General features: G+C 43.8%; 1 protein-coding gene across 2 annotated transcripts in view, besides 1 other annotated feature; it reads left to right on the top strand.

Moving 5' to 3' along the window:
* ENTPD4 (ectonucleoside triphosphate diphosphohydrolase 4) overlaps positions 1-11,033 on the top strand; it is a 28,486-nt gene extending 17,453 nt beyond the window's left edge. For both annotated transcript variants that reach the window (NM_001128930.3, NM_004901.5), the window contains exons 9-13: positions 280-446; positions 2,937-3,261; positions 4,718-4,803; positions 5,717-5,878; positions 7,041-11,033. In NM_001128930.3, the coding sequence (NP_001122402.1) occupies positions 280-446; positions 2,937-3,261; positions 4,718-4,803; positions 5,717-5,878; positions 7,041-7,269 (969 nt within the window). In that variant the 3' untranslated portion in view covers positions 7,270-11,033. The remainder of the gene's footprint in view (positions 1-279; positions 447-2,936; positions 3,262-4,717; positions 4,804-5,716; positions 5,879-7,040) is intronic.
* Positions 17,473-17,973: an enhancer, noted in NCBI's record as "H3K27ac hESC enhancer chr8:23279735-23280235 (GRCh37/hg19 assembly coordinates)". NCBI's record gives its function as "activates a minimal SCP1, AML or CMV promoter by ChIP-STARR-seq in naive H9 embryonic stem cells {active_cell/tissue: H9 hESC(naive)}" and the evidence as "EXISTENCE:reporter gene assay evidence [ECO:0000049][PMID:30033119]".

Below are 20,662 nucleotides of genomic sequence, written 5' to 3'. Positions count from 1 at the left end.
GCATAGGATTCCAGAAATAAATTATGTCAGAGGGTATGAACTATTTTGCTGACTTTCTCTTTCAAAAAGTCATAACAGTATCACAAATTTGCAGCCCATCTGAAATTTCCTAAATCAGAATTGTCATATTGAATTATGAGTGATGCTTAGAAGGGTCCTTGGGAAGTGCAGAAGCAGACATTTTTGTCCCTTTTAGATGAGACTATTTTTAGACTTTTCTTTTTAGTAGGAGGCTAAAGTAGCTTAAGCTATTAAGGTTTGTTATGCTTATGTCTGCAGGAAGAAGTAGCTAAAAACTTGTTAGCTGAATTTAACTTGGGATGTGATGTTCACCAAACTGAGCATGTGTATCGAGTCTATGTGGCCACGTTTCTTGGGTTTGGTGGCAATGCTGCTCGACAGAGATACGAAGACAGAATATTTGCCAACACCATTCAAAAGAACAGGTAAAGCACCTTTCACTACTTGGCAGTCATTTGCAAACCTAGGTCTCTCCTCATAAAAAACAGACCCAGGCAAAGTGGGAAGAACTCAATTAGCAAAAGTGTGTTGCACTGTTAGCTTTTTATTCCCCCACTAGCTGAGCAGGGAGAAGAGATGAAAGCACACCAGGGTCCTGCCTTTGGCCCTCTGTCCCACCGTGCCCTGAAGGAGGTGTGTGCGTGCGCTCTCTCACCCGCATCTCAACTGATGGATTAGAAATTTCACCATCAAGCTATAGAATAGTTTGGAGCCCTGGGTGGTGCTATTCATGATTCAGAGTCCTTGGGAAACCCAGTATCTGGAGCACTCGTGGTGTCCTGGAGGCCTCAGGTAGTGTGTTCTCTTGTTGCTGAGGAGATTGAAATATGTGATGTTCTGGAGACTCTGTGGATGAAGCAGCCAGTGCAGCTAGTTAGTGGATAAGAACCATCGTGAAGGGAATTATTCAAGAGAAATAAATTATCTAGAAGAGTCAGAGTTAGTGGCTTTTGAATTTAGCAATGAAGCTTTAAAAAATGAGTGTATGAAGAATTGTGGTATAGAAAATATATAAAACAAAACAGCACTCTATTGGTTTAAATTGACTGTATAAGTGTAAGTATATAGCACTTATTTATTTGAAATTTGTAAGAACATAAAAGCTATTTGGATAAATAAAAAAATCTGAATCTGGGGTTATGTAAGCTATCCTATTTATTACTGTGTTTTATTTGTTTATTTTGATGAAACAATTTTGAGGGAAAAAAATCCTAGTTCATAGAGCTAAGAGATTGTATACTTCCTTGATTAATGTAATCTTAATAAACCTGTGAAGGCCTGAACTTGAAAAAAGACCAAGTTGGAGCTATTCAGTACATTTACCACAAAGTCATGTGTGTAAATAGGAAAAGCAATAAAAACCTTTTCCTGTGTCTCTTCCAAAAGTTAACTGAATAGTTTTAATTATAAGATTGGTAGTCCCATGATTTTGTATTTTTAATTGGTATTTAGCACATTTTGGTATAATCATTTTTATAGTAGTCTTAAACTAGAAATATTTTATAGACAACATTTGTAACATATTTTTTCCGAAACCTTAATTTTTACTCATTGGTTTTAATGTCAGAAAGCTTTATATAATGGATAGTTTAGTGGTACTTCTTAATTTAGATATAGGACAACTAAAAATAATAGCATGAAATATATATTTGACTACTCTTGGACTTTTATAGTAATTACAGGTGTTTCATATGTCATGAATTGAGCATTGAAGTACACATTTATCTCTTCGCCATTTGTAGTGGTGATTAATTTTTTTAAATTAAGCGAACATTTTTATGGCAAAGACCTTAATTTATTACATTCAACTGCATGATGAGTAACCCTGATCTGAGGAATACACAACTTGTGAGTTGAGTGAAAAGTGAAAACTTGACTGTCGGTGATGAATATTGAATTCTGACCATGCTTAACCCTTTAACAGTTCAACACCTGTCAGGCCCCTGTGATTTCACAGTATCCAACACCAACATCACTTGAGATTTTGTGAGCTCTTCTCTGTTTCTTGTTGCTTGAAGGCATGCACACACAATAGGATGACAGATGTTAACTCCCAGAAATTTCATTAGCAAGTAATAAGCCTAGTGCCTTTCAGTTAACAAAATTAATGTTTATTTTCTACAGGGCATCTCAGAGCCCATTGTACAATGGAAACTGCTGTCTGCTGCAGTTGGGACCCATAGCTGATCAAGGAAAGAAATAAGTTGAAACAGAATGATAAAAATAGAGCCAAGCCTTAGACATTCTGTCTTAACTTCTGTATTCATTTGCTAATCTTTTCCTCTGAACCAAGGTCTGTTTTTAGACTCCATCCTTTCTTTGGCATGCACTGCACCCCTCATTGAGATACCAGTTTGTCTTTGTTTAAAGAATACTGAGGACTTAAAAGAGATTTGCAAGGCAATTTGATACCAAATCCTTCTAGATGTTTGCTAATTTTTCCCAGTTTTAAAAATCCTACCCACACCTAGTTTGATAATTTTCTAGTAACTTTTCTAAAGCATCTAACCTGCTTTGCCCAGGACCGGATCTTGTCACAGTCACGTTCCTTCCATCTGTATTAGGTAAAACCACAAGCACTAGTGCAAAAATGGGGCTGGTAACACAGTTGCCTTGTGCCCAGCAGCTGGGAACATCAGGCCTTGTTGCCAGGATCGTCGGCTAATCGGGTAGGTTATCCAACTGGACTCTGGTAGCCTGTCTGCTGCAGGCAAGTTTGTATCCTGACTCTCCAAGAAAGTCTCAAGTGTGTATTTTCCTAACTAATTATCTCGGAACCCTTTTCTGTTCCACAGACACGGTCCTGCAGGTCTCATGTCCCACAGAGCGTATTTTGAGAAACACTGGTTTGCAGCCACTTCCTGAAAACACAGTTTTCTGTAGGACTCACGATGAAGTTTCTTGTTTTGCCATAGGCTCCTGGGTAAACAGACTGGTCTGACTCCTGATATGCCGTACTTGGACCCCTGCCTACCCCTAGACATTAAAGATGAAATCCAGCAAAATGGACAAACCATATACCTACGAGGGACTGGAGACTTTGACCTGTGTCGAGAGACTATCCAGCCTTTCATGAATAAAACAAACGAGACCCAGACTTCCCTCAATGGGGTCTACCAGCCCCCAATTCACTTCCAGAACAGTGAATTCTATGGCTTCTCCGAATTCTACTACTGCACCGAGGATGTGTTACGAATGGGGGGAGACTACAATGCTGCTAAATTTACTAAAGCTGCAAAGGTACCCTTGAGAGACGCCGTCTGCTCTGCATGCTTTTGAGAGACCAGTGTGGACGGTGACGGGTTATGTCCTCCTTTCACATTGACAGGGAAAGACGGAGTATAGAAGGCTGCACTGCAGCATGTTGGGATCCTGTTCCCTTTGCTTGGAGGGAGGTTGAATAGTCACAGCAGAAGTAAAAAATGTACTGTACGCTGACTTCTGCACCACTCCATTAGCTACCCTGGTCATCAGTTAGCTCCAAATTACAGTCTTTTATGTCATTTTTGTGCTTTGCTGCATGTGACAATTCTCCTACTAGCCTTCCCCCTCCCTGACCTGCCAGGATACTCCTGTTCTTGTGTTCTCTCTGCCTTCCTGACACCCCTTAAACTTAGGTGATGCCAGACTTCCACACTTGGCCCCTGATCTTCAGGTTCTTGGATGGTCTCATCCATATTCAGGGTTTGCTGCTGCCTCTCAAGAAGAGGCTCCAATCCTGACCCCTGCCCGGTTGCCTGCTAGATTCCACAACTCCAGACAAACCCACCATCCTCTCTCCATTCTGTTCCTGTTCTTCTCTCGGTTAATGGCATCGCCAACCATCCAGTCCCCTTCCCTGCAGCCTAGGAGTCATGGACTTCTCCCTCTAACCATTTCATCTCTCCCTATACACCCCAGTGTAATCAGTCACAAGTGTGGTATTTTATCTTCCAAGTATTTCTCAAACCCATCTCGAAGCGCAGAGCACTGTATGCTGTAATCATGTCAGACAGCTGGCTTCCCTCACGCTCTCCGCGACTTCTCTGTGTCCATGTCCATGTTCCTGAAGTGCCTATGCCGAGCCCGTTCCCCAGGCCAAGTGCTTTTTCCTTGTGCTCCCTGTCACACACCCAGGCCCATCTCCCACCTCTCAGCAGTGTCTTCATCCTTTAAATAGAGGTCGGGATGGTAGCCACCTCGAGGAGTTAAGTATTACATTGAGAAGACACACTTACACAATGCTCAATAAAAGTTATTATAACAAATAACTTCAAGAAAAGTGGGATCTCTTTCCCTTCTGTTAAAGACAAAAACCTTTTGCAGTTATTATCCCAGTAGCTTGTACTGTGTCCTCCACAGATGTAGGACTTAGTTTGAAGTAGCTAAAATACTGCTTCACTTTTCCAAAAATGTATGCCCGTACCATGCAGTCATGGAGGGAGAAACTAAACAGTTTTGGAGAGGTTGGTTGTGGACAGCAAAGCTCTCTTTAACAATACCCTGGACAGAATTTTAAGGCAAGGCATTGTGTTTGCGAATCAGTAAGTATTCCCTGAGTGTTTGTGTGTCTTGCCATTTGTTGTATAAGTTAAGCTTGTGTGTTTCCTAATGGGAAGGATATGCTTGTTACAAATATAAATTTGGTAAACCATTTTTAAAGTGAGAATTTTAATAAGCCTTTACTAGTGATCTATTTTGGTGAATTTGTTTTCAGGATTATTGTGCAACAAAGTGGTCCATTTTGCGGGAACGCTTTGACCGAGGACTGTACGCCTCTCATGCTGACCTCCACAGGCTTAAGTAAGTACTAGAAGGTCAAGCCCAGGGCACTCTTAAGAACCATAATGCAGTGTTGGCCCCACTGGCTTGCCACACCCTGGCCTCAGTCCAGCTTCTTCTCACTCACTGTTCTTCCCATCTACCCTGGGCCCCTTTCAAACGGGACAAATACTTGTGCCCAGACATATTCCGTATCTTTTTTGTTTTGGTCACTTTTACTGTCTCTTACCCCTGAAATTCCCCTGTTCATACCTTTGCTTGTTCAAGTCCTGCCCAGACATCAGAGTCCAGCCAGAGGCTGTCCCTTTCCAGTCTTCCTCTGTCCCCTCAATCAGACTTCATCCCTTTCTCTGAGTCTCAAGAATTCATCCTACCTCGCCAATGCATTTATCATGTTCTGCTTTTTCTGTTGCTTTTTAAAAATCCCCTTTCATTGTAAGTCACTTAAGTGCAGACACTGTATCTTACTAATTATTGTATCTTATTACTTGCTTAGCACAGTGCTTGGCAAAAAATAAACCTCTAATAAATATTTAGAGTCATAGAATATCAGAGCTGAAGAGAACCTTCCTACCATCTCATTTTATAATAAACTGAGGTACAAAGAGGTTGGAACCTGTTCAGTATTCATTCAAGGAGTACATGGTGAAATGCCAGCTGGAAAAGAAACCTATCTCAGGGATATATGACATTATGCCGAGACCGGGTTCATGCACTGATTGATTTGACAGGTGAACTGCTCCATGTTGTGGGACCAGGGATGTGAAGCAAGTACATCAACCTTGAAACGCGCGCAGTTGGTTTGGGAGAGCCGGCCTGAGGAAGCCCCTGCCCCAAGGCTGCCCACAGAGGGAAGGATTGTGTGTGTGTGTGTGTGTGTGCCATCTTGACAGAGTGAGTCAGTCTGACTTGCCTTTGTGCTTGCCGTTTGTAGGTATCAGTGCTTCAAATCGGCCTGGATGTTTGAGGTGTTTCATAGGGGCTTTTCGTTTCCTGTCAACTATAAAAGCTTAAAGACTGCCTTGCAAGTTTACGACAAGGAGGTTCAGTGGACCCTTGGAGCCATCCTCTACAGGACCCGCTTTCTACCATTAAGGTAGGGCTGTGAATTTGGGAACGAGAATCAAAAAGATGCTTTTCTGCAGTTACAGCACCTCATGGCAGCTGTGGTCTGTGGCTGTTTGGGGCATTGCTGTTAGAGCCGGCCACGGCAGAATTGTAGGGACAGTGACGTTTGCTTTTGGTCTTGCCCCCTCCCCACAAGTGCTTCCTCCCTTCTCACCCTACCATCCCGTAATACACAGCACTCCTGTCCTACTGCCCTGTGTTTGGTTATTCTCAACTGTCTGTTCCCCAGCCCCGGCAAAAGGGTCAGTTCCGGGGTTCTTAACCTTTATGACTCAGGCCTCTTCTCCAAATACTGTTTAAATGCATGTATAAATACATAGGATTACAGAAGAAACCATCATATTGAAATAATACCAAAATATTACAGAAAACAAGTTTGTGATACTGTAATATGTGTTCTTCTCTATTAACACATTAAATAACAGGATCTGGCAGCAGAATTAGCACTTTCTGTAATTTCAGTGTAGTCAATGAGCGTCAATGATATTTTGAGGCATTGATGATACCATAATGGGACATGAAAGATCTGTGATTTTCGTTAGTAACAAAGTTGCAGGTGCTGCCAACGCTAATGATAGTTTGTTGTCTGCATTCATGGTCAAAGAAATGCTACATCTCAGTCAGCGCTTGGGTAGAACAAAGATGTGCGTTTTTCCCCATTCACGTTTGCAGATCTGCTGTCAGTTGACCTGTGCTAAGAACCTGAGTTACCTGATAGATGAGACATTTGCTCTTCCCCCCACCCCCTCCATTTAATTGAGCATTTCTCAGCAACCCTTTTAACTGGGTTAACTGTAAAAATGGTGAGTCATGGGTGTTACTGATCACAAGCATGCAGTTTGTTTACATGTTGACTTCTTTGTATCAGCGAAACCTTCACGGCTCTTCTAAATTCCTCTGATTTTGGTTGCCCAAATTATAATGACCGACTTCAGAGTATACTTTCACATGTTATCTCACTGATACTTAGAAGCCCCCTGCATTGGGCTGTTCCGTTCTCCATTTCAGAGGTAGGGTTGCAGTTCCTAAAGTGCAGCTCTGGGGCCTGGGTCCCGCCGTCCCCCTGTGCACCCTTTCCACCCCTTTCCTTGCTTACTGTCCTGTTTGTTGTTTGGTGTTCACATGGGCAGAGACATCCAGCAGGAGGCCTTCCGAGCCAGTCACACCCACTGGCGGGGCGTTTCCTTTGTCTACAACCACTACCTGTTCTCTGGCTGCTTCCTGGTGGTGCTGCTGGCCATCCTGCTGTACCTGCTGCGGCTGCGGCGCATCCACAGGCGCACTCCCCGGAGCAGCTCGGCCGCCGCCCTCTGGATGGAGGAGGGCCTTCCCGCCCAGAATGCCCCGGGGACCTTGTGATCCAGCTCACAGCTCCACGAAGACTCAAAAGGAAAAGCCATTTTTGCCTCAGGGTTTCTCCTCTTTATTTTCCTGTGGTTTTGTTTTTTCTTTCCCTTTTTTGTTCCTCCAAACAAAAACAAAATGCAGGCCGAGCGCGGTGGCTCACGCCTGTAATCCCAGCACTTTGGGAGGCCGAGGCGGGCGGATCATGAGGTCAGGAGATCGAGACCATCCTGGCTAACACGGTGAAACCCCGTCTCTACTAAAAATACAAAAAATTAGCTGGGTGTGGTGGCGGGCGCCCGTAGTCCCAGCTACTCAGGAGGCTGAGGCAGGAGAATGGCATGAACCTGGGAGGCAGAGCTTGCAGTGAGCCGAGATCACACCACTGCACTCCAGCCTGGGCGACAGAGTGAGACTCCGTCTCAAAAAAAAAAAATGCATTGTTTATAAGCCCTGCTGTCTAGAAGTATTGCGTTTAGCCATTTTGAGTACAGCATTAAATTGAGGAGTGGGGAAGAGGGAAATTCACTTGATTTTTGCTGCACAGGATATCTGCCAAAAATAAATGAGATTTCTGGGGTTTCTCTAAGGAATGTTAAATTTAAACACATGCACTTTGATACTGGAGGGAGGTGGAAAGATGCATTCTGTCAGTGGAGAGGGGACTGAATAGTGATGCTTTCATAGAACCAAAAAACTTACTGCCTGAAATGATAATCCTCTTTTTTCTCTATCTTGAAAGCTCTAACCTGAAGAGGGTGATTTTTTTTTTTATTTATTGTTCAGGTCTGTTACTGTATATGTTTTCTTTGCAAATTTAAATTTTTTAAACCATTTATATCCAAAACAGAGAAACATGGGCACCAGGAGATAACCATTTATAAAAGTGATAGTGAACTATCGACTACAGCTTTGTGCGAGTGTGTGAAAAATCCCAAGAAACCAGCGTGAGGGGAGGCAATGCTGGTTCTTTAAAAACACACACTTCAGAATTTACTGGTACATTTTATTTAGAAAAATCCTCGTTACTGTTATCTTTTCCTGACCGCAGGTAATTACGCTCCTTATTCCATATTTCAGTGGCATTAGAACACTGTGGTTTTGAAAGAATTGGAAATTCCTAGTTTCACCAGTTTCGGTTTTATTGGAACTAGAGCACATGCCCACTTCTTGCTCAGTATTCCTCAGTGTTTCTGCTTAATCGTGCCTCAGTTTCTTCCAGCTTCCAATTGGTGTTTCCCCCACCCCCCTTAATTAAAAGTCATCTCAGCTTTTAATCGTACTGGGAGACCCCATGCACAGCCTGCCGAGTCCTCTTCCTAACCGCATTGACTGAGGCTGTTGCTGGCAGCACCACTGTAAATCCAGAAGGGAAGAGTCTGCATCCAATACAGGAAATAAATTCACATTTTGAAGGAAAAAATTCGACAATTTAAGCCAAAATCTAAAAAGGACAATTGGATTGGCATATGTGAGATTGGTGTTTTTTCACCTATTTATTTAGTTGAGAAGTTTGGGGAATTCTCGTACAGTTTTTTTAGGTGGAGTTTGTTTTGTGCGAGTGTCTGTGTGTGCTGTTCCCTAACTCCAGAACAGTTAAATTCCTGTAGTTGGTAGCAGATTAGTACCCAGAAGTGGGGTTGTTGCTATAACAGATAACTGAGGATATTATAAAAGTGGCTTTGGAACTAGGTACTGGGCAGAGGCTGGGAGAGTTTGGAGAAACAGGAGAGAAAAGGCCTGTATTGCCATGAACTGAGCATTAGGGGCAGTTCTGCTGAGGGATCAGAAGAGAAGACCAAGGGAATTCTGTCCCAGTTGTGGCTCAAACTGCCTCAGGTGCAGCTTAACCTGCGTCTCTGGAAGGTAAAATGCATCTGATCCTTGAGGCAAGAGCTGTGGGGGCATGGCTCCCTCACCTGGATTTCAAAGCGTGTTACCAGCAGCCTGGGGACCCAGGCTCTGCCTCTGGATTTACCTGCATCGTATTTGCGCTTCGTGGTCAAAGTTGTTAAGAAAGGGGTGAGCTTCTGGCTACCTAATAAGTTGGTCTTGGCCACCTGCCTGCGACACTTCCTGGAGGAGCCATGGATTATTGGTGGAGGCTGCAGGGAGCTGGCGATGGAGCCACTGGTGTCAGCAGCAGAGAGGGAAGAAAGGAAAGGAAGGGGCCACAAATGGTTGAAGTGGGCAGGTGGGCACCCAGGGAGTTAGGGGACCCCGCCTTCCAGCTCTGGGCATAGAAGAGTTAGTCACATACCTGAGGATCCTGAAACAAGGGCTGAGAAAACCTCATTGCTCCAGCTGAGAGGTAGTAGTGGATTTGCCATTTTTAAACAGTTGCCTAAGAAAAAACGTTGAAGAATATGCAGCAGACACTATATGTGGCCTGTAAAGCCTAGAATATTTACTAAAATATTTACAGAAAAAGTTTGCTGGTCCTTGTGAGAACAATGCAGTTCAAAAAAGGATACAGACAGAAGCATCCTCTTAAATCAGGAATGTAGTTTCCATTTGTGGGCACGAAAAGATGGACAAGAGAAGTAACCAAACTTCAATCTTAAAATATTTGTTGCACCAGAATTTCACTTCGGATTTTTCCGTCTAGATTATTTTCAAGATGAGTTTTGAAACAAACCAAGAAACCTGCCCCTCACCCAAAATTGTTTAAAAAGAGACCACTCAAGGGAGTTCATTATGCCGTATGGAGATGTCTGCAGTCGCAGCAAATCACATTCCAGAGAAGGTCTCGCGTAGGTGAAGACAGCCAGGTGCTTTCTCTAAGAGATACAGGGTGGGTGAGAGACAAGCCAGGGAGGATCTTAATTCAAGAGAAGAATTCATACCAAGAGCTGACCAAGAAGGCAGTAAATTCTGTGTACTTGTAGCAGAAGAAATTGGACTAGGAACTTGCCCAAAGCTTTATCAAAGAAAAGCATTGTGTTCAATCTTGGTAGAAACATGCCAGCAATAAGTGCTTATGTTCCATAGCCATATCATGGGCTTCTCACTTTTAAACCTCCTCCAGGGGATGTTCTCAGACATTTCACAATCCCTCTGGGGACATTACAGTAGAAGAGAAACACATGGAACTGTACCAGTGCTTTTTGCCCATGTTCATCCTAAGCTCCGGCTTTAGGCAGTGCTTTCTGACCTGGGCGGAGTGAAGACGCTGCTGGTGGCTGAGGCCAGTAACATGGGGCCCCTGCCCAGCCACCCTGAAGGCTGGGTAGGTCCCTCTTTTCACCACCAGTTTTCCACATCTGTGTACTCTAGATTAACAAACTCTGGATAAACAGATATTTACATTTTAAACTCAGGCCTACACAGAGTAGTTTTCCTTATAAGGAGCATGTATCACTTAGCAAGAAACTAAAAATGGCAAATGAGTTTTTCATCCTTTAAGAAAAAAATCAGCTTTAGAATTCTCTGCGGTCAGTTGTGTGCAATGCAACAAAACTACCTTTCAGTAAATTACTTAGTTATTTATTTCAGTGTTTTGTTTCTTTTGATACTAAGTTTCCCTTTCAATAATGAATGATGTGACCAACCAAGGAGAATTTGTTTGTTCTGTACTAAAATTATATTTTACAGTTAGGAATTATAAAAAGCAAGGGAGCATCTTTAAATGTTTTTTGTTTAAGCGATGTCTTCCATCCAAAGTAAGAATAATACTCTCGGAAGGTCCTTTTGGTGTCATGTCACTTGCTGTATGTGGCAGCCTTACAGTGCCACACTTGGGTACTGAAAAATCAATAAAACGAAAGTTCATCATCCCATGGCCCGTAGACTGTGTGGGCTTGCTTCCTTGTCATCTTTGAATCTTCTTACTCATTAGAATGATGAGTTGAACTTGAGTCCAAATTCAGTGAAATACATTGTCTGAGTCTGACGCACACTCTTTGCATGTGTTGTGTTGGGTGTGCATACAGTGAAGCACAATTGTGTGGGGTTGTGGAGAGGGCGTCCACACTCTCTGCAGCTCAGAAAGCAGATATTTCACAAGTAGTGACCAACCCACGACGTTAAGCCATTCACCAACAATAATTGCCACTCTGAGATGACTGTTTATAAGGTCACCATTTTAAGTACCTACTTGTATATAGACAAGGAAAAGTAATAAAATTAACCAATTTTTATGTATTTAATAGTAACAGCAAATGCTGACTTTATGTTACACTGTTTTGCAGTTCGATCTAAGCTTAGAACCTTTGGCTTACTTCCAGAAAATTATGACTGTCATTATTAATGTTACGTGTTACCAATATGGAGGATGACATTAGACGCTCAGCATGTTTCTCAGCCGTTGGAGAATACATAGATGTTCTCCTGGAGCAGGAAGGTGGGCCTGAGCCATAACCTGAAAATAGATGATAGAGACAGATGGGAAGGGAAGGGGACCAGCTGTTAGGACCAACAAAAATAAAGGCCTGAGACATGCCGGAGAGGAGAGGGAAGCGCAAAAACAAAATGAGAGAACAGAGCCAGCAAAGTGAGCTCAAGGGAGGTCCTCAAGCCATTGATCGCTAGGAAAACAGGACACAGCATTAAGATAGAACTGTCGTAAATAATTTTTGAGGCAGTGCAATGACTATAGGGCTTTTTGCCTGACTTTAAATACGTTAAAATATCTAAGATGTTAAAAGACATCTAAATTTTTATTCCACTTGGTGGAAGAGAAGTCAGTGCCTATTTCCAACACTAACCATGTTGACAGGTCTGAAAAGCCATGGTTCTGTGTTTTTGTTTTCAGTCTGTTTCCATTTGTCCTATGAATTGGCATGTGCCCTGTGGGTTTTTTTGGTTTTTTTGAGATCCGGAAATGCTAATGGTTTGCACAGAGGGGGTCGTGAGGTGCAGGTCACCTCTGTCAGAGTCACAGTGTCTTCTTTTGGAAACGTCATGAAAAGACAAAGGAGTGCCCGGCTAATCCCAAAGCACGCCTTGGCAGAGTGGATCTGCCTGGAGCATCCATCCGTGGCAGCATGAAAGGCAATCCTGTGAGAGTCTTCCTGGCCCCACCTCGTCTGGGAGCATGTGGGCCTGTGATCCCACCTCCTCCTAACAAAAGAAGAGTGTGTCTGTTGATGTGTTTTATTTTGCTTTTAGCCAGGCTAGTCCCCCTGCCCTTGCGCAGTCCAGCCTCTTTCTATTAATAGATCTATTAAGGTTGACTGAGACCTGCTGCAGGGGACGCTAGGGGCACTTTGGCCTTCGATCTTTGCCTTTCACCCTTGACACTGTTTGGCAGGTGAACGACATCCGGGCTCCAGACTTCATGGCCACTTCAACATTTCTGTCAACAGCCTGTGTCTGTTTCATGTAAGAGGCCCAAACAAGAAAATCAAGGCTTAAGAAGGATTTCTGCCTTGAGTAAAGGACTGAAACCTCCTCACAGAACACGATGGTGACAGGCACAAAAGACAGACTTCTTGTTTAAGTAGGTGAACTCCAAAGACGAGAGAAAAGGAGTTTTTTTCCTCCCGTTCAACCAGTCATCAAATAAACATCTCAGGCATCTGGTGTTTTGTCAAGGGATTGGGATTCCAGTGGCCCCTGTGTGACTGGAAGGGGAAAGGTTTGTCGGTGGCAACGCCATCGAAACACAAAGGAGCAGCTTTAGAATCCCCAGTGTGGGTCTTCTCTTGTGTTATTTCTACAACATCCTTGTGCCAGCTGTTCTTGCTGTTCTCTCAGGCTTCTAATTGGGAGTGTGAATACTACCTTTCACCCTTTTTGCCTTCATGAGAATCAGAGTTTGAAGTGGACAGTTCTGAAAATATTAATCATCTTTTTTTTTTTTTTTTTTTTTTTTTGAGACGGAGTCTCACTCTGTCGCCCAGGCTGGAGTGCAGTGGCGCGATCTCGGCTCACTGCAAGCTCCGCCTCCCGGGTTCACGCCATTCTCCTGCCTCAGCCTCCCTAGTAGCTGGGACTACAGGCGCCTGCCACCACACCCAGCTAATTTTTTGTATTTTTAATAGAGACGGGGTTTCACCGTGTTAGCCAGGATGGTCTCGATCTCCTGACCTCGTGATCCACCTGCCTCGGCCTCCCAAAGTGCTAGGATTACAGGCGTGAGTCACCGCACCGGGCCTAATCACCTTATTCTTGCCTGTCATTACACAAGCCTTAAACTCCAGGGACCAGACTTAGCACTTTCTTTTCCTAAGATTGCTTTTTCTCCCACTTGGCCCAAGCTTTAATACCCAGATTTTAGACTCAAAACACTTAAAACATTTGGTGGGCTCTCCTCAGCCTTGTAAAGTTCTTTGATACTGGTCATGGCAGCACAAGAGAATTTTCTGGAAGTTCCTGGCTGTTTAATGTTCAAATTACACGTTTAAATTCTCTCCCACCTCCCGTGGCCCTGTTTTCCATCAGTGTATCTATTTCTGGCCCAAATGTCCTTGAACATGGACCATGACAGGTCCTGTGTTTACTTTCCATGTTTCTACATTTATAATCCAGTAAAGAAGACACCGAGTAGTACATAGTATTTTGTAAATATTTGTAAACTAATGAAAATCTGGTTTCTTTCACAAATCACCTCTTTAGGTTTCTAAAATTTATGAAAGAAATCTTTTAAAATCTATTCTAGGCCGGGTGCAGTGGCTTACGCCTGTAATCCCAGCACTTTGAGAGGCCAAGGCAGGCGGATCACGAGGTCAGGAGTTTGAGACCAGCCTGGCCAACATAGTGAAACCCTGTCTCTACTAAAAATACAAAAATTAGCTGGGCAAGGTGGCGGGCGCCTGTAGTCCCAGCTACTCAGGAGGCTGAGGCAGGAGAATCACTTGAACCCAGGAGGCGGAGTTTGCAGTGAGCCAAGATTGTGCTACTGCACTCCAGTCTAGGCGACAGAGCAAGACTCTGTCTAAAATATATATATATTTTATTCTCAATTTTTGCTGTTCTTTCCAGATGTGCAGAGTTGTGTGTGGTTTTAAAACCATATGCAATGTGCCGTGAAGGGCGGGATGGAACCCAGGCCTCTGAGTCTCAGTTCTCTGTTCACTTCCCTCCACCAGAGTTTGTTAAGGGAGTGTTGCATTTTAAAGCTTTATTTAGAAAAACTTAGGAAAACCAAGTTTACCTCAAGTGGTTTCCTTTTTTCGCAACCTGTTCAGCCTTGACAGAAAGGAAAAAGAAATCCCAGAATTAGGTAGTAATAATAGAGGCAAAGTGAGATTGATATTTTCTGAAGCCCTGCTTACAGAAAATAATTCCTGCATATTTATTTTATTCTAAACATAGCTTCAGATTGTTTTTCATTCTAAGTTGTCCTTAAAAGTCACTTTTTAAACCTCACAAGAAGCACCAAATGTAAGGGGGAAAGGATGGATTTGACTACATCTAAAGTAAGACTTTCTGTTCATCAAAGCTAACAGATGGCAGACTAAGAAGGTATTTGCAGTGACTGAAATTGAAAAGGGATTAAAATGTACAAAGTTTCATGCAAAACAACAAGAAAAAGGAAATCCAAAAGAAAAAACCGGCCATGGATATTAATAGGTGATTCACAGCAGGGGAAACCCAAATGGTGAACAAGAGATAAACTAAGCTGAAGAAATGCAAATGTAAATTAAGACCCACTACCTTATGCCCCTCAGAATTGCCAGACTTCAAGTGCTGGCAGTGATGCGGGGCCTGGACTTCAATATTGCTGGTGGTGGTGCAAACTGCAATGCGTACCCCAGAAGGGAAGCTGGCAGCTTAAAAGTTAGCAGCGTGTGTGCCCTTTGATTCAGAGAGCCACTTGCGCGTGGCTCTCCGGAGAGATTTCTACCTGGGTCCATGAATGGACTTACGGAAGGATTCCTTGGTAATGATTCTGAGTGACTGTGTTGATGGAGGCAAGCAAGGTCTTGGACAAGTCAAAGGCGGCAGGTGCGTACCATGGAATACTGTATAGCCATGAGAGACAGACCTAGAACTATGAACAGCAAGCGGGTGGCTCTTAAAAATAGTGTTGAATACTGAAAGCAAGACATGAGAATTGTTGTATAATGCCATTATGTTAATGTAGGGCATACGGCACTGTATGTCCTATGAGGATGTGCATATTTTGATTCAAATACATTAAAATGGACGTTATGGGGACACAGATTATTTATGAAAGGAGGAGAAAAGATAAAACTGATTTCCTTGTTTTAGGGTGACCTCACATCCCAGTGAGCCCCTCAATTCAGGGCCAGGGAGGTTGATTGGTTACCCCACCCCAACCCAACCCAGGCTGTTTTCAGCACGGCAGCCTGATAAGCTGTGATTCAGACCTTGAAGTTGTTAGGCAAAAGCTCTCCACTCGGCTCTGTATTTGACTCAGGAAGAACTGAAGTCTTTATAATGGCCTAGACAGCCCTGCACCGTGGCCTCCCACTCCACACCTCTCTGACCGCAGTCCTCATTTCTCCGAGACTCCGCTCCAGCCACCCTGGCCTCAGGGCCCTCTCAGGACTTTCCATCCCCCTCACCCTGCTTCACTTTCCCCCATGATGCTTATGACCTTAGATCTAGTACACTCTGTTTTCATTACGTTCTATGTACGACTCTCCCTATTACCCTACTAGAACATGAGCCAGGGGGCAGGGGGCTTTTGTCTGTGTGTTTTCATGTTGTATCCCCAGGCACAGGATCTGATAGGCGGTAGACATTCAATAAATATCTGTGGAATGAATGAACAAGGCAGGATCCTTAAAGCGAGGGGGAATGACCAGGCTGAGAACTGAGAGAGCATGCTAAACTCCACAGTCTGGCCCCAGGGATGGGGGCAGGAAAGATGGCACCACCTCCTTGCTTTATTAGAGGGAAAGAAGGTGCTTCTTGTGCAGAACCGTCATCATAACAGAAAGATAGCTTATTACACGCCAGGCACTGTTCTAGCTCTTTGTTAGCTTACATAATCCCTGTATTAGTTCGTTTTCACACTGCTATAAAGAACTTCCCAAGACGGGGTAATTGATAAAGGAAAGAGGTTTAATTGACTCACAGATCAGCATGGCTGGGGAGGCGTCAGGAAACTTACAATCACGGCGGAAGGTGAAGAGGGGGAACCAAGACACCTTGGCAGGTGGCAGGAGAGAGAATTAATGCAGAAGGAACTACCAAACACTTATAAAACCATCAGATCTCCTGAGAACACTATCACGAGAACAGCACAGGGGAAACCACTCTCATGATTCAATTACCCCCACCTGGTCTCCCCCTTGACATGTGGGGATTGTGGGGATTATAATTCAAGATGAGATTTGGGTGGGGACACAAAGCCTAACCATGTCAGTCCCCAAAATGACACCATGAGGAGGTGCTTTGATTACCGTCACTTTACAGGTGGAGAAACAGATGTGGAAAAGGCACACAACTTGCCCAAGGTACCGAACTAGCCAGTGGTGGGGCTGGGATTTGAACGCAGGCAGCCTGGCTCCATTCTGTACTCTAGAGCTGCACTGTCCAGTATGACGGCCACTAGCCACATGAAACAGGCCAATCTAAACTGAGATGAGCTGTAAGTATAAAATATACACCAGATTTCAGGCCGGGCACAGTGGCTCATGCCTGTAATCCCAGCACTTTGGGAGGCCAAGGCGGGCGGATCACGAGGTCAGGAGATTGAGACCATCCTGGCAAATATGGTGAAACCCCGTCTGTACTAAAAATACAAAAATTAGCCAGGCATGGTGGTGGGCGCCTGTAGTCCCAGCTACTCGGGAGGCTGAGGCAGGAGAATCGCTTGAACCCGGGAGGCAGAGGTTGCAGTAAGCTGAGATCTCCCCACTGCACTGCAGCCTGGCAACAGAGTGAGACTCTGTCTCAAAAAAATATATATCTATATCTGTCTGTCTATATATAGATATAGACACACCAGATTTCAAAGACTTCATGTAAAAAAAATATGAAATATCTCAGTTTCTTTACATTGGGTACATGAGACATGACAATATTTTAGGTATATTGAGTTAAATAAAATATTATTGGATTAACATCACCTGTTTCCTTCTACCTTTTTAATGTGTACACTAGACAACTCTAAATTGCCTGTGTGGCTCACAGTATATTTCCGTCAGACGGAGCTGCTCTCGGTACTTGCTTCTCAAAGTGTGGTCCTTGAATCAGCAGCATCAACATCACTGAAGCCTGACGGAAGTGCTGGATCTCAGGCTTGGTCTCAGACCTCTTGAATCAAATTCTTCATTTTGCCAGCCTTCCAGGTCACTCATAATGCATGCTCACATTTGAAAAATGCCGCTTCAGACCAGGCAGCAATTTTTTTCTCTAAAGGGCCAGATAATAAACATTTTAACTTTGCAGGCCACATGACTTCTGTCCAAAACTCACCTCACTGCTTCTGTAGTATGAAATGAGCCAGAATATGCACGTGAATACGGATTCCACTGTAACCTGCACGGACCTAGGGGGACTGAACAAAGCGGGGCAAACACGGGAATAAAAGACAAGAGACAAAAGAGTATATTTTGAAGAAGGGGTCAGGGGGTACCTTGCCCCTAGTGGACAAGGGCCCTGAGCTTTATACAGCCCTCCTTATTTATTAGGCAAAAGAGATAGTGAGAAGCGGGGTGGAAGAAGGGGTCAGCTGCTCAGTCTAGAGCAGGCTTGCAAGACTGCATTCCTCGAACAACAGGCTAAATGTTGCAGTAGATAACCTCAGCGCCAGGGAGTGATTGCCTCCAGCAAACCTTCTGTCGGCAGGAGCAGTCGTCAGTTTTCTCACATCCTGCATTCATGATAAACAGTTTGCTGTTGGATCATATAGCCTCCAGTGGAATGCTGCGTTGGTCACATCCCATGGGCCTTCGGCTCCCTGCATATCCCCCTTTCTGTTTATGAATTAATTGAAAAAATGTAAGGCCAGGCTGGGCAGCTCTCATTCTCCGATTGGCAGTCCATCCGATTTTACAGACTATAAACAGAAGACAGAGACGAAACAACATTATTCCAAGAACTACATATAAGATGTTAATGTGGTGCCTTAGATAGGTCCAAGGGTTGAGGCTCTCCAGGCCTTGCTGGAATTTGGTCCCGTCTTCTAAAGAAGGCTGAAATTCTTGAGTTTGCCTATTTAAATCAAGAATTTTGTTTTGTAATTCACCAATATCAAAGGTGATGTTGGATGTGAACGCTCCCTGCAAATGGGCTTTCACAAGGTCCCACGGATACTCACTTTGGTTGTATTCTAAGTTGGTTACACAAATATGAGTGTGATTAAAATGACAGCGCAATTACTGCTGCAACTGCAAGCTTTGTACTTGTGCCCCTAACCACAGAACCGTGGATTTCAGCATTGCCACTTCAGTTTGTAGCTCAGTGTTAATTTTATTCTGAAGTCGCCACGCTTGGTCAGCTGTGCGCGTCCAGTTCTCCACGTACTGAGCTATTTGAATAGAATTATGCAAAGCTACAGAAGATATCACAACAGAAGTTACTAGCATGACCAAGTAAACAGTAGCAAAAATTATCATGCCTAAGGCTCTACGGGCACGATGAGTCAGCTGAGTTAGAAGTTTCACAAAATGCAAAGCAGGTGTGGCAGCCCAAGGCTCAGACAGATTAACAGGAATCCCTAGCCCAGGGATACCACCTAAAATCATCACAGTAGAGATATTATGTGTTTGCAATGTGCTATGATTAGTGCAGTGATATAACTGGCAAGATTTACAGGTCAATTGGGTATTGTTTACCTGGAGCTGGTCCTTCTTAGCTGCCAAAAAGACATAAGGATTAAAAACACAAACTGTAAATTGAGTGATGATATTCTTTACAAATGTAACCTTAGAACTGTGTTGTGACTCCGGTCGGCCTTCTCTCCGTCTTTGCATTCAGGCTCAGCTGACTCATGGCTCATACCGGGACCGGGTCCATGGTTGGCCACCCTGGGTTCCTCCAGTCTCCCATTCCATGGTCGCACGCACCTTGAGGGCACCCACACAGTTCATCCATCTCCTGCAAAAACACAAGTATACCCTCTTCCCCACATTAGTAAATCCACTGGACCTTTCCATTGGCCTTCTTCCGGGGATTTCCGTAACACTTTCGGATAAACTTTCCTCTTTTCCTCTAACACTTGCCAATGTCTTTCTGCTGGAGTCTTTACCTTCCATACCAGGAGTCAGAAAATTTAAAGTAAGGCTAAATGTAGTTTTGATTGAGGTGGTAGTTGGTCTCCTATACCCCCTTTTTGTTTTTTCAATATGCGTTGTAATGTTTGATGTGCCTGCTCTATAATGCCTTGTCCTCTAGGATTATAAGGAATTCCTGTTTTATGGGTTATAGCCCAAAGCTGTAAGAAATTTTGAAAAGCATGACTAGTATAAGTGGGTCCATTGTCAGTTTTTAATTGTTTAGGTATCCCCATGTGAGCAAATGATGACAGACAATGTGGCCATACATGACCAGCTGTCTCACCTGTTTGGCATGTAGCATGCAGCATATGAGAATAAGTGTCTATAGTCACATGAACGTAGCTAAGCTTACCAAAGGTTGCTATGTGTGCAACATCCATTTGCCAAATTTCATTTGGAGCCAAACTTCGTGGGTTACAGCCTTCTACAGGTATAGTTCCAGGGACATGCTGGCAAGTAGGACAGGCTTGTATTATAGCCCTAGCTTGGCTATGAGATAAATGGAACATGCGAGTAAGGGTGGAAGTATTTTGGTGCAGAAGTGCATGAGATGCTTGAGCTTGCCGAAACACAGAACCAATCAGTTTGTCTGCTTTCTCATTACCTAGAGATAGGGGTCCAGGAAGTTGTGTGTGAGAGCAAATATGAGAAATATGAAAAGGAGCTGCATGAGAACGAATAACTTGTTGAAGTCTTAAAAATAAATTAAGCGGCTGGGCATGGTGGCTCACACCTGTAATCCCAGCACTTTGGGAGGCCGAGGCAGGTGGATCATGAGGTCAGGAGATCGAGACCATCCTGGCTAACATGGTGAAACCCCTTCTGTACTAAAAATACAAAAAATTAGCCGGGCGTGGTGGCGGGCGCCTGTAGTCCCAGCTACTCGGGAGGTTGAGGCAGAAGAATTGCGTGAACCCGGGAGGCGGAGCTTGCAGTGAGCTGAGATTGTGCCACTGCACTATATCCTAGGCAACAGAGCAAAACTCCATCTCAAAAATAAATTAATTAATTAACTAATTAAGCAGTTCTGGGTCTAGTGTACTTTTAATTGTGGCAGTTTCTATGCGACTGGCTACATTTACAACATAAGCTGAATCACAGACAAAGTTAATAGGATCTGAGGCTGTGAGCTGTAAAACCTGAATGACTGCAATTAGCTGTAAGCGTTAAGCTGAAACACCAGAGGTATCTAGCTTCTCCTGTGTTAGGGGCACAACTGTGAGAGCATAAGTGTCTGCTATTGAGGCCACCCAGTTTGTGGTGCTTTGTCA

This window comes from Homo sapiens, chromosome 8, assembly GCF_000001405.40.
Source record: "Homo sapiens chromosome 8, GRCh38.p14 Primary Assembly".
Taxonomy (NCBI): Eukaryota; Metazoa; Chordata; class Mammalia; order Primates; family Hominidae; genus Homo; species Homo sapiens.
Note: the sequence above shows the minus strand (reverse complement) of the source record. Positions and strands in the feature narration are given on the sequence as shown.